Source organism: Homo sapiens, chromosome X (genome assembly GCF_000001405.40).
Source record: "Homo sapiens chromosome X, GRCh38.p14 Primary Assembly".
NCBI lineage: Eukaryota > Metazoa > Chordata > Mammalia > Primates > Hominidae > Homo > Homo sapiens.
In genome coordinates this window covers 75609120-75623588 of record NC_000023.11, presented here as the reverse complement: position 1 = coordinate 75623588, position 14469 = coordinate 75609120, and the positions used below count along the sequence as shown (strand labels likewise).

Below are 14469 nucleotides of genomic sequence, written 5' to 3'. Positions count from 1 at the left end.
CTCCTCTACATCCTGGTTTATTCCCTGTGTTGATGCCTCCAGATCTACTCCCAGTCACTGGACACAGTCATACACAAACGCATAATGCACAGCAATCCACCTCTGTACAGTCTGACTGACAATATTTTCAACAAATGCTGTATTTTTCTGAACATAACCCCATCATACATAGAAAAGCAACTGAAAGTTGAGAAACTGTAAGTTGAGTCATCATAAGTCAAGGACATCTGTCTATTCTACTTTTATGATGCCTGTCATGGCAAATCAAGTAGCCTCCTAATTTCTCTTCCCTGTTCCACTTTCTGATTCTCTCAAAAATCCATCCTCAACACCGTAAAGAGATGGCTCATCAATCCATCAACAACTGACAAGAAACTTGTAATGAATTCGCAAAGAGTTGCATGGAGGAATCAAATGGGTAGAGGCCTTGTTATACATATTTTAAATTAATCTTTACTGTTTAAACGACAGTTGTTACATGCAGTTGTAAGAAATAATTCAAAGATTACACAGAGATCCTGTGTACACTTTATTCAGTTTCCCCCAATGGTAAAATTTTGCAAAACTACAGTACAATATCACAACCAGGAAATTCACATTAATAGTGAGATACAGAATATTCCATCGCCACAGGGATCCTGCCTGTTGCTCTTCTACAGCTATACTCACTTCCTTCCTGCTCCCACCCCTTTCTTAACCTCTGGAAAGAACTAATCGTTTCTCCAATTCCATAATTTTGTCATTTCAGAAATGTAATATAAACGGAATCACACATCGTGTAATCTTTGGGACCGCCTCATTTCACTCAGCATAATTCTCTGAAGATTCCTCCAGGTTGCTGCTTGTCCTGTGTTTGTTCCTTTTCATTCCATTGTATGGAACGGTTCAACAGTTTGTTGAACCATTTGCATTTTGAAGGACAACTAGGTTGTTTCCCATTTGGAGTTATGACAAGTAAAGTTGCTACAAACATTCATGCACAGGACTTTGTGTAAACATGTTTTCATTTCTCTGTGATAAATCCCTAAAAATATAATTACTAGATCATATAGCAGTTTTTTATTAAACTTTTAAGTTATAGGGTACATGTGCACAATGTGCAGGTTTGTTACATATGTATACATATGCCATGTTGGTGTGCTGCACCCATTAACTCTTCATTTAACATTAGGTATATCACCTAATGCTATCCCTACCCCCTCCCCCAACCCCACAACAGGCCTCGGTGTGTGATGTTCCCCTTCCTGTGTGCATGTGATCTCACTGTTCAATTCCCACATATGAGTGAGAACATGTGGTGTTTGCTTTTTTGCGCTTGTGATAATAGGCTGAGAATGATGGTTTCCAGCGTCATCCATGTTCCTACAAAGGACATGAACTCATCCTTTTTTATGGCTGCATAATATTCCATGGTGTATATGTGCCACATTTTCTTAATCCAGTCTATCACTGTTGGACATTTGGCTTGGTTTCAAGTCTTTGCTATTGTGAATAGCGCTGCAATAAACATATGTGTGCATGTGACTTTATAGCAGCATGTTTTATAATACCTTAGGTATATACCCAGTAAAGGAATGGCTGGGTCAAATGGTATTTCTAGTTCTAGATCCCTGAGGAATCGCCACACTGACTTCCACAATGGTTGAACTGGTTAACAGTCCCACCAATAGTGTAAAAGTGTTCCTATTTCTTCACATCCTCTCCAGCACCTGTTGTTTCCTGACTTTTTAATGACCACCACTCTAACTCGTGTGCGATGGTGTCTCATTCGGGTTTTGATTTGCATTTCTCTGATGGCCAGTGACGATGAGCATTTTTTCATGTGTCTTTTGGCTGCATAAATGTCTTCTTTTGAGAAGTGTCTGTTCATATTCTTTGCCCACTTTTTGATGGGGTTGTTTGTTTTTTTCTTGTAAATTTGTTTCAGTTCACTGTAGATTCTGGATATTAGCCCTTTGTCAGATGACTAGACTGCAAAAATTTTCTCCCATTCTGTAGGTTGCTTGTTCACTCTGATGGTAGTTTCTTTTGCTGTGCAGAAGCTCTTTAATTTAATTAGATCCCATTTGTCAATTTTGGCTTTTGTTGCCATTGCTTTTGGTGTTTTAGTCATGAAGTCCTTACCCATGCCCATGTCCTGAATGGTATTGCCTAGGTTTTCTTCTAGGGTTTTTATGGTTTTAGGTCTAACTTTTAATTCTTTAATCCATCTTGAATTAATTTTTGTATAGGGTGTAAGGAAGGGATCCAATTTCAGCTTTCTACATGTGGCTAGCCAGTTTTCCCAGCACCATTTATTAAATAGGGAATCCTTTCCCCATTTCTTGTTTTTCTCAGGTTTGTCAAAGATCAGATAGTTGTAGATATGTGGCATTATTTCTGAGGGCTCTGTTCTCTTCTATTGGTCTATATCTCTGTTTTGGTACCAGTACCATGCTGTTTTGGTTACTGTAGCCTTGTAGTATAGTTTGAAGTCAGGGAGTGTGATGCCTCCAGATTTGTTCTTTTGGCTTAGGATTGACTTGGCAATGCAGGCTCGTTTTTGGTTCCATATGAACTTTAAAGTAGTTTTTTCCAATTCTGTGAAGAAAGTCATTGGTAGCTTGATGGGGATGACATTGAATCTATAAATTACCTTGAGCAGTATGGCCATTTTCATGATATTGACTCTTCCTACCCATGAGCATGGAATGTTCTTCCATTTCTTTGTATCCTCTTTGATTTCATTGAGCAGTGGTGTGTAGTTTTCCTTGAAGAGGTCCTTCACATCACTTGTAAGTTGGATTCCTAAGTATTTTATTATCTTTGAAGCAATTGTGAATGGGAGTTCACTCATGATTTGGCTCTCTGTTTGACTGTTATTGATGTGTAAGAATGCTTGTGATTTTTGCACATTGATTTTGTATCCTGAGACTTTGCTAAGTTGCCTATCAGCTTAAGGAGATTTTGGGCTGAGACGATAGGGTTTTATAGATATGCAATCATGTCATCTGCAAACAGGGACAATTTGACTTCCTCTTTTCCTAATTGAATACACTTTATTTCCTTCTCCTGCCTGATTGCCCTGGCCAGAACTTCCAACACTATGTTGAATAGGAGTGGTGAGAGAGGGCATCCCTGTCTTGTGCCAGTTTTCAAAGGGAATGCTTCCAGTTTTTGCCCATTCAGTATGATAATGGCTGTGGGTTTGTTATAGATAGCTCTTATTATTTTGAGATATTTCCCATCAATACCTAATTTATTGAGAGTTTTTAGCATGAAGGGATGTTGAATTTTGTCAAAAGCCTTTTCTGCATGTATTGAGATAATCATGTGGTTTTTGTCTTTGGTTCTGTTTATATGCTGGATTACATTTATTGATTTGTGTATGTTGAACCACCCTTGCATCCCAGGGATGAAGTCCACTTGATCATGGTGGATAAGCTTTTTGATGTGCTGCTGGATTTGGTTTTCCAGTATTTTATTGAGGATTTTTGCAACGATGTTCATCAGGGATATTGGTCTAAAATTCTCTTTTGTTGTGTCTCTGCCCAGCTTTGGTATCAGGATGATGCTGGCCTCATAAAATGAGTTAGGGAGGATTCCCTTTCTTTCTATTGATTGGAATAGTTTCAGAAGGAATGGTACCAGTTCCTCTTTGTACCTCTGGTAGAATTCGGCTGTGAATCCATCTGGTCCTGGAATTTTCGGTTGGTAAGCTATTAAGTATTGCCCCAAATTCAGGGCCTCTTATTGGTCTATTCAGAGATTCAACTTCTTCCTGGCTTAGTCTTGGGAGGGTGTATGTGTCAAGGAATTTATCCATTTCTTCTAGATTTTCTAGTTTATTTGCATAGAGGTGTTTATAGTATTCTCTGATGGTAGTTTGTACTTCTGTGGGATCAGTGGTGATATCCCCTTTATCATTTCTTTTTGTGGCTACTTGATTCTTCTCTCTTTTCTTCTTTATTAGTCTTGCTAGCGGTTTGTCAATTTTGTTGATCTTTTCAAAAAACCAGCTCCTGGATTCATTGATTTTTTGAAGGGATTTTTGTGTCTCTATTTCCTTCAGTTCTGCTCTGATCTTAGTTATTTCTTGCCTTCTGCTAGCTTTCGAAGGTATTTGCTCTTGCTTCTCTAGTTCTTTTAATTGTGATGTTAGGTTGTCAATTTTAGATCTTTCCTGGTTTCTCTTGTGGGCATTTAGTGCTACAAATTTCCCTCTACACACTGCTTTGAATGTGTCCCAGAGATTCTGGTATGTTGCGCCTTTGTTCTCTTTGGTTTCAAAAAACATCCTTATTTCTGCCTTCATTTCGTTATATACCCAGTTGTCATTCAGGAGCAGGTTGTTCAGTTTCCATGTAGTTGAGCGGCTTTGAGTGAGTTTCTTAATCCTGAGTTCTAGTTTGATTGCACTGTGGTCTGAGAGATAGTTTGTTATAATTTCTGTTCTTTTACATTTGCTGAGGAGAGCTTTACTTCCAACTATGTGGTCAATTTTGGAATAGGTGTGGTGTGGTGCTGAAAAGAATGTATATTCTGTTGATTTGGGGTGGGGAGCTCTGCAGATGTCTATTAGGTCCGCTTGGTGCAGAGCTGAGTTCAGTTCCTGGATATCCTTGTTAACTTTCTGTCTCATTGATCTGTCTAATATTGACAGTGGGGTGTTAAAGTCTCCCATTATTATTGTGTGGGAGTCTAAGTCTCTTCGTAGGTCTCTAAGGATTTGCTTTATGAATCTGGGTGCTCCTGTATTGGGTGCATATATATTTAGGATAGTTAGCTCTTCTTGTTGAATTGATCCCTTTACCATTATGTAATGGCCTTCTTTGTCTCTTTTGATCTTTGTTGGTTTAAAGTCTGTTTTATCAGAGACTAGGATTGCAACCCCTGCCTTTTTTTGTTTTCCATTTGCTTGGTAGATCTTCCTCCATCCTTTTATTTTGAGCCTATGTGTGTCTCTGCACGTCAGATGGGTTTCCTGAATACAGAACACTGATGGGTCTTGACTCTATCCAATTTGCCAGTCTGTGTCTTTGAATTGGAGCATTTAGCCCATTTACATTTAATGTTAATATTGTTATGTGTAAATTTGATCCTGTCATTATGATGGTAGCTGGTTGTTTTGTCGTTAGTTGTTGAAGTTTCCTCCTAGCCTCGATGGTCTTTACCATTTCGCATGCTTTTGCAGTGGCCGGTACTGGTTGTTCCTTTCCATGTTTAGTGCTTCCCTCAGGGGGTCTTGTAGGGCAGGCCTGGTGGTGACAAAATCTCTCAGCATTTGCTTGTGTGTAAAGGACTTTATTTCTCCTTCACTTATGAAGCTTAGTTTGGCTGGATATGAAATTCTGGGTTGAAAATTCTTTTCTTTAAGAATGTTGAATATTGGTCCCCACTGTCTTCTAGCTGGTAGAGTTTCTGCGGAGAGATCCGCTGTTAGTCTGATGGGCTTCCCTTTGTGGGTAACCCGACCTTTCTCTCTGGCTTCCCTTAACATTTTTTCCTTCATTTCAATTTTGGTGAATCTGACAATTATGTGCCTTGGGGTTGCTCTTCTCGAGGAGTATCTTTGTGACATTCTCTGTATTTCCTGAATCTGAATGTTGGCCTGCCTTGCTAGATTGAGGAACTTCTCCTGGATAATATCCTGCAGAGTGTTTTCCAACTTGGTTCCATTCTCCCTGTCACTTTCAGGTACACCAATCAGACGTAGATTTGGTCTTTTCACATAGTCCCATATTTCTTGGAGGCTTTGTTCGTTTCTTTTTATTCTTTTTTCTCTAAACCTCTCTCTCGCTTCATTTCATTCATTTTATCTTCCATCACTGATACCCTTTCTTCTAGTTGATCACATCAGTTACTGAGGCTTGTGCATTCGTCATGTAGTTCTCGTGCCGTGGTTTTTCAGCTCCGTCAATTCCTTTAAGGATTTCTCTGCATTGCTTATTCTAGTTAGCCATTCCTCTATTTTTTTTCAAGGTTTTTAACTTCTTTGCCTTGGGTTCAAACTTCCTCTTTTAGCTCGTAGTAGTTTGATCGTCTGAAGTCTTCTTCTCTGAACTCATCAATGTCATTCTCTGTCCAGCTTTGTTACATTGCTGGTGAGGAGCTGCATTCCTTTGGAGGAGGAGAGGTGTTCTGATTTTTAGAGTCTCCAGTTTTTCTGCTGTTTTTTCCCCATCTTTGTGGTTTTATCTACCTTAGGTCTTTGATGATGGTGATGTACAGATGGGGTTTTGGTGCGGATGTCCTTTCTGTTTGCTAGTTTTCCTAACAGTCAGGATCCTCAGCTGCAGGTCTGTTGGAGTTTGCTGGAAGTCCACTCCAGACCCTGTTTCCCTTGGTATCAGCAGCAGAGGCTGCAGAACAGTGGATGTTGGTGAACAGCAAATGTTGCTGCCTGATCCTTCCTCTGGAAGTTTTGTCTCAGAGGAGTACCCGGCCGTGTGAGGTGTCAGTCTGCCCCTACTGGTCGGTGCCTTTCAGTTAGGCTACTCAGGGTTCAGGGACCCACTTGAGGAGGCAGCCTGTGAGTTCTCAGATCTCCAGTTGCATGCTGGGAGAACCACTACTCTCTTCAAATCTGTCAGACAGGAACATTTAAGTCTGCAGAGTTTTCTGCTGCCTTTTGTTTGGCTATGCCCTGCCCCCAGAGGTGGAGTCTACAGAGGTCGGCAGGCCTCCTTGAAACTGCGGTGGGCTCCACCCACTTCGAGCTTCCTAGCCACTTTGTTTACCTACTCAAGCCTCAGCAATGGCGGGCGCCCCTCCCCCAGCCTCGCTGCTGCCTTGCAGTTTGATCTCAGACTGCTGTGCTAGCAATGAGTGAGGCTCCGTGGGCGTAGGACCCTCCGACCCACGTGTGGGATATAATCTACTGGTGTGCCGTTTGCTAAGACCATTGGAAAAACACAGTATTAGGGTAGGAGTGACCCGATTTTCCAGGTGCCATCTGTCACCCCTTTCTTTGACTAGGAAAGGGAATTCCCTGACCCCTTGTGCTTCCCGGGTGAGGCAATGCCTCACCCTGCTTCAGCTGACGCTCGGTGTGCTGCACCCACGGTCCTGCACCCACTGTACAATACTCCCCAGTGAGATGGACCCGGTACCTCAGTTGGAAACGCAGAAATCGCCCATCTTCTGCATCGCTCACACTGGGAGCTGTAGACTGGAGATGTTCCTATTTGGCCATCTTGGCTCCACCCCCTCATATAGCAGTTTTTTGTTTAGTTTTGTAAGAAATTACCAAACTGTTTTCCAAACTGGCTGCACAATTTTACAACCCGAAAAGCATTGTATGTGTAATCCAGTTTCTCCTCATCCACACTAGCATTTGGTGTTGTCTCAATTATTTTTAATTTTAGTTATTCTCATATATGTGTAGTGATATCCCATCATGGCTTTAATTTGCATTTCCGAAATGGCGAATAATTTTGAACATCTTTTCATATGCTCATTTGCCATTTGTATATCCTCTTTGGTAAAGTATTGTTCATGTCTTTCCATATTTTATTCTCAGATAGTTTGCTTTTACTATTAAGTAATGAGAGTTCTTTAAATATTCTGGAAATTATTCCTTTGTGAGATATTTGTTTTATAAATATTTTCTCCCAGTCTGTAGCTTGTTTTACTGTTCACTTCACAGGGTCTTTTGTAGAGTAAGAACTCAACTTTGCCTATCAGCTTAAAGAGATTTTGAGCTGAGATGATGGGGTTTTCTAAATATACAATCATGTCATCTGCAAACAGGGACAATTTGACTTCCTCCTTTCCTAACTGAATACCCTTTATTTCTTTCTCTTGCCTGATTGCCCCGGCCAGAACTTCCAGTATTATGTTGAATAAGAGTGGTGAGAGAAGGCATCCTTGGCTTGTGCCAGTTTTCAAGGGAATGCTTCCAGCTTTTGCGCATTCAGTATGATATTGGCTGTGGGTTTGTCATAAATAGCTCTTTTTTATTTTGAGATACATTCCATCAATACTTAGTTTATTGAGAGTTTTTAGCATGAAGGGGTATTGAATTTTATGGAAGGCTTTTTCTGCATCTATTGATATAATCATGTGGTTTTTGTCATTGGTTCTGTTTATGTGCTAGATTACATTTATTGATTTGTATATGTTGAACCAGCCTTGCATCCCAGACATGAAGCCGACTTGATCATGGTGGATAAGCCTTTTCATATGCTGCTGGATTCGGTTTGCCAGCATTTTATTGAGGACTTTCACATTAATGTTCATCAGGGATATTGGCCTGAGATTTTCTGTTGTTGTTGTTGTGTCTCTGCCAGGTTTTGCTATCAGAATGATCCTGGCTTTAAAAAATGAGTTAGGGAGGAGTCCCTCTTTTTCTAATGTTTGGAACAGTTTCAGAAGAAATGGTACCAGCTCCTCTTTGTACCTCTGGTAGAATTTGGCTGTGAATCCATCTAGTACTGTGCTTTTTTTGGCGGGTAGGCTGTTAATTACTGCCTCAATTTCAGAATTTGTCATGGGTCTATTCAGGGATTCAACATCTTCCTGGTTTAGTCTTGGCACGGTGTATGTGTCCAGGAATTTATCCATTTCTTCTAGATTTTCTAGTTTATTCACATAGAGGTGTTTATAATATTCTCTGATGGTAGTCTGTACCATTTCTAGGGGATCAGTGGTGATATCCCCTTTATCATTTTTTATTGTGGCTATTTGATTCTTCTCTCTTTGCTTCTTTATTATTCTGGCTAGTGGTCTATTTTGTCAATCTTTTAGAAAAAATCAGGTCCTGGATTCATTGATTTTTTGAAGCGTTTTTCATGTCTCTATATTCCTCAATTCTGCTCTGATTTCAGTTATTCCTTGTCTTCTGCTAACTTTTGAATTTGTTTGCTCTTGCTTCTCTAGTTTTCTTTAACTGTGATGTTAAGGTGTCAATTTTAGATCTTTCCCAGTTTCTCCTGTGGGGGATTTAGTGCTGTAAATGTTCCTCTAAACACTGCTTTAGCTGTGTCCCAGAGATTCTGGTACGTTTTGTCTTTGTTATTGAATTCAAAGAACTTATTTATTTCTGCCTTAATTTCGCTATTTACCCAGTAGTCATTCAGGACCAGGTTGTTCCGTTTCCATGTAGTTGTGCAGTTTTGAATGAGTTTCTTAATCCTGAGTTCTAATTTGATTGCACTGTGGTCTGAGAGACTGTTTGTTATGATTCTCTTCTTTTGCATTTGCTGATGAGTGTTTTACTTCCAATTATGTGGTCAATTTTAGGAAAAGTGTGATGTGGTGCTGAGAAGAATGTATGCTCTGTTGATTGGGGTGGAGAGTGCTTTAGAGGTCTATTAGGTCGGCTTGGTCCAGAGCTGACATCTCAGTATACAGAATCAATGTGCAAAAATCACAAGCATTCTTGTACACCAATAAAAGACAGAGAGCCAAATCATGAGTGAACTCCCATTCACAAATTCTACAAAGAGAATAAAATACCTAGGAATACAACTTACAAGGGATGTAAAGGAACTCTTCAAGGAGAACTACAAACCACTGCTCAAGGAAGTAAGAGAGGACAAAAACAAATGAAAAAACACTCGATGCTAATGGGTAGGAATAAACAATATCATGAAAATGGCCATACTGCCCAAAGTAATGTATACATTCAATGCTATCCCCATAAAGCTACCAATGACTTTCTTCACAGAATTGGAAAAAACTACTTTAAAGTTCATATGGAACCAAAAAAGAGCCCGCATCGCCAAGGCAATCCTAAGCCAAAAGAACAAAGCTGGAGGCATCACACTACCTGACTTCAAACTATACTAGAAGGCTACAGTAACCAAAACAGCATGGTACTGCTACCAAAACAAAGATATAGACCAATGGAACAGAACAGAGGCCTCATAAATAACACCACACATCTACAACAATCTGACCTTTGACAAACCTGACAAAAACAAGTAATGGGCATAGGATTTCCTATTTAATAAATGGTGTTGGGAAAACTTGCTAGCCATATGCAGAAAACTGAAACTGGACCCCTTCCTTATGCTTTACACAAAAATTAACTCAAGTTGGATTAAAGACTTAAATGCTAAGACCTAAAACCATAAGAACCATAGAAGAAAACCTAGGCAAGACCATTTAGGACATAGGCATGGGCAAAGACTTCATGACTAAAACACCAAAAGCAATGGCAACAAAAGCCAAAATTGACAAATGGGATACAATTAAACTAAAGAGCTTCTGCACAGCAAAATAAACTATCATCAGAGTGAACAGGCAACCTACAGAATGGGAGAAAACTTTTGCAATCTATCTATCTGACAAAGGACAAGTATCCAGAATCTACAAAGAACTTAAACAAATTTACAAGAAAAAAACAACCCCATCAAAAAGTGGGTGAAGGATATAAACAGACACTTCTCAAAACAAGACATTTATGTGGCCAACAAACATATGAAAAAAAGCTCATCATCACTGATCATTAGAGAAATGAAAATCAAAACCAAAATGAGATACCATTTAACACCAGTTAGAATGGTGGTCATTAAAAAGTCAGGAAACAACAGATGCTGGAGAGGATGTGGAGAAATAGGAACACTTTTACACTGTTGGTGGGAGTGTAAATTAGTTCAACCATTGTGGAATACAGTGTGGCAATCCCCCAAGGATCTAGAACCGGAAATACCATTTGACTCAGCAATCTCATTACTGGGTATATACCCGAAGGATTATAAATCATTCTACTGTAAAGACACATGGACACGTATGTTTATTTCAGCAGTATTCAGAATAGCAAAGATTTGGAACCAACCCAAATGCCCATCAAGATAGACTGGATACAGAAAATATGGCACATATACATCATGGAATACTATGCAGCCATAAAAAAGGATGAGTTCACGTCCTTTGCAGGGACATGGATGAAGCTGGAAACCATCATTCTCAGCAAACTAACACAGGAACAGAAAGTCAAACACCGCATGTTCTCATGCATAAGTGGGAGTTGAACAATGAGAACATATCGACACAGGGAGGGAAACATCACACACCAGTGCCTGTCATGGTTAGGGGGCTAGGGGAGGGTAGCATTAGGAGATACCTAATGTAGATGACGGGCAGCAAACCACCATGGCACGTGTATACCTGTGTAACAAACCTGCATGTTCCGCCCATGTGTCCTAGAACTTCACACTGAACTTTACAGCCCTGGAAGTTGGGTATTTTCCTTCATTCTCCCACTCCTCCTTCTCCTCCAGATGTGGGCCTCCCTCTGTTAATGGCCCAAGATCATAATCAAAAACTAAATCTTACCTCTTCCTGAAGCACCTCATAAACAACGAACAGTCAGGTCCCAGAGATGCCACCATAGTTAATACCCTCCAACAACACCAACACAGTCTCACCTAGGTTCCCTAACTCATTCTATTCCACCCTCCAATCTATCTAGGCAGCACGTTTAGCCAATGAGCTCATCATCCTTGAACTGTCCTGACCAGGGTAAGAGTCAGTTAGACATCAATGTCAGTTAGTTAAATCAGTTAGTCAAGATGTCAGTTAGACATAAGTAAGTTATGTTTAACAAATGAAAGCTAATCTGCCTAAAGGAACATTCTATGTGTACTTGAGTGAACTACAGCACAACTTCCAGCATACCTGGTGCTTCAGTCTCCTGGCTGAAGCTATGCCTGGCTACTTCATTAATATAGGCCCTATACTTGTAAGGACCACACCTTTCTTCATGCTGTCAATTTCGTCTGTAAGCAGCTTCCTCAACATAGCCCATAGAGCTCTGCAAAGACATAACACACTGCCTTAGAATATTCACTTTACGGTAATTTGTGTTAAGTGCCATTATATCCTCTAGCGGAATAATTGAGTATAAAAATAAGATTATTTCAGACATTGGTAAAGTCATGAGAAGAAAATAACACAGGGAAGAATGATATAGAGTTACAGAGGGTGTGGGAGGGACCAGTTGAGGGAATTTAATTCAAGAAAAAAGGTCAGAGAGGGCCTCTCTGACAAATAAAAATCAGGAGATAGAAGCAATAGCTAAGAGATCTCTGGGAGGAACTTTCAGGGAAGAGTGAAGAGCAAATGAAAGACTTGGGGACAGAGGCTTTCTTATGCATAAGTGGTTATGCTCACAGGGGAGCATAGCAAGAGGCCCTAGTGCTGTGACCTGAAGCAGCACTATGGTTGAGAAGGCTCATTCATATAGACATTACTGTACCAGGCAAGGCTACTGCATTCTTTGTCCCTAATCCAGGCAGGGGACAGTCTATATTAACTCTATCTCTAAAATAAGAGTCTGTTTCCCTGATGACTGATTCACAGTCTTCATTCAACCCCCTACACTGCTGTCCCAGTGATATTTTTCAATCACAAATCAACATCATTCAGCATTGTACCACAAACATACTTACAAAATTTTAATCCCATTAACCACAGAATATACTCAAATCTCTGATGAACATTTGACTTTTTCCAGAAAATAGAACAGCATTATCCTACTTGCTAGCTCCCAACATATCCCTCACACATTCTATTATTTGGCTATTGGCTCTTCTCAGAAAGATCCTGTACCTGGAAAAAACTTCTTCCCATATTTCACATGAGTTCTTCAGTCCATGCTGAAATCCTTTCCCCTGGATGAGGCATTCAGAGATACCATGAAGTTGAACTTTACATTATTCCAGACTTTTTTTCTTTTTTTATGAGCAGGTAAAACTTTTAGTCTTTATAAGTAACAGTAAATGAATAATATTACTCAGGAATACTCCCTTGGAAGGAGTTCAAAAACATAACATCTTACAATTTTAATTTAGAGCTTATATTATAAACATTATCAGGTCTTGGCTGGGCCTATAAAAACATTTGAATGAATGGTTTTACAAGGTGAATTTTTTTTAAAAAATTGTAAGAGTGACCATAATAAAAGTAAGAAATTTCACTTACCTTTTTTCATCTTAAATACTTGTCATTTATTCTTCCTGTCTAACTGTAACTTTGTATCCTTTGACCCATATCTCCTATTTACCCTATCCCCACCCTCTGAGAACCACCATTCAACTCTCTGCTTCTATGAGTTCAATTATTTTAGATTGCACATATAAGTGAGAACATGCAGTATTTGTCTTTCTTTGCCCAGCTTATTTCACTTAGCATAATGTCCTCCAGGTTCATCTATGTTGTTGCAAATGGCAGAATTTCATTCTTTTTTAAGGCTAAATATCAAAAATCATTTTTTCTGAAGCACTGATCTGACTCTTACTTCATTCCTAGGCCCAAACCTATTTGCTTCCTCTAAAGTACCTACAAGATCAGCCTGGAATCCCCTGAGCTTAGCGTATTAGGACCAACAGGTTCTAGCTCCCATCCACTTTTCAAAAGCAATACCTTTCCTAAAACACTTCATGATCCATCCATTGTGGACTATTTGTTGTGTCCCTAAAATAAGCCCTATACATTCTGAGATTAGCTCCTTCAACCTGATTTGTCCCCCATTATTATATCATTCAAAGCTGTGCTCACATCTTATCACTGACATGAGAAATTTGTGACTTCCCTAAGCTGAAATTTTTATCACTCCCTTTTCTGTCACTGAAGGCAATATCTCTCATAAGGTTCTCATCATTAGCATTATTATATGACAGTCGGCTATATGTATATGGATTTTAAGACACCACACAGCAGGGACTGCATTATTTTCTCAACTGGGCACCCTACAGACACATACAAATACTACAAGGTACAAACTGGAAATTCAAAGCACATCTACTTTTACTTTACAGAGAGAAAACTGGAAATCAGAGATGTTAAAGAATTTGTTCAAGGACACACAATCGTTTAGTGGTAGAAAGCAGACCAGGATCCAGGCCACCAGGCTTCCAGGCCAGCAGTCTTTCCTTTTTGTGTGTGCACTGTTCATTATACTAGAGACATGGGACTCAAACAATATGAGTGCAAAGACAGTGAGAAAGGAAAAAACGACCTTTCGACTCATCTGTTTCCTTGGGACCTCGGTCTCACATGCAAATAAGGGGAGACAAGGAGAAGGCACACCCCTCCCACTGCCTCTGGCAGGCAATTCAGCGCCTTTCTTTTAATCCATTATTGTAGCCTTTGTGAATCAATTTCCAGGCCACCAGTCCCCCCTCCCCCCAACTCATCCAGTCTTTCCCTGGTTTTCTCAATGATTTTTCCATACAGGAAACAAACATAAGGACAAATTTTAAAGGAAATTCCCATGTACTAAAGGATATACTAAATTTATCTTTGATAAATGTTCAAAACTTTTCAGGAAATAGAACATCACCACTGGTACTCCACTAACACATCCAAAATTCTAACATTTCTGACATCTGGCTCATGGCTCTTCTTTAACCAGAGTCTGTGCTAGAAAGACCTCACCCCAGTCTTTCAGTATAAGCTCAAATCTTATACATTTCATGCAATTAATATCTCTTGTATCAATTAAACTTCCCACTAACTTGGTTCCCCACTATCTATTTGCCT

The 14469-nt window shown here is 39.7% G+C and overlaps 1 long non-coding RNA gene across 11 annotated transcripts in view; it reads right to left on the bottom strand.

Annotated features, from left to right (window-relative positions):
• Positions 1-14469, bottom strand: part of LOC107985664 (uncharacterized) — a 270484-nt gene that overhangs the window by 170022 nt on the left and 85993 nt on the right. For 4 of the 11 annotated variants that reach the window (XR_007068272.1, XR_001755893.2, XR_007068270.1 and 1 more), the window contains exon 3: positions 11605-11740. The exons of the other annotated variants lie outside the window; for them this stretch is intronic. This is a non-coding gene — a long non-coding RNA (uncharacterized LOC107985664). The remainder of the gene's footprint in view (positions 1-11604; positions 11741-14469) is intronic. 11 annotated transcript variants of the gene reach the window in all.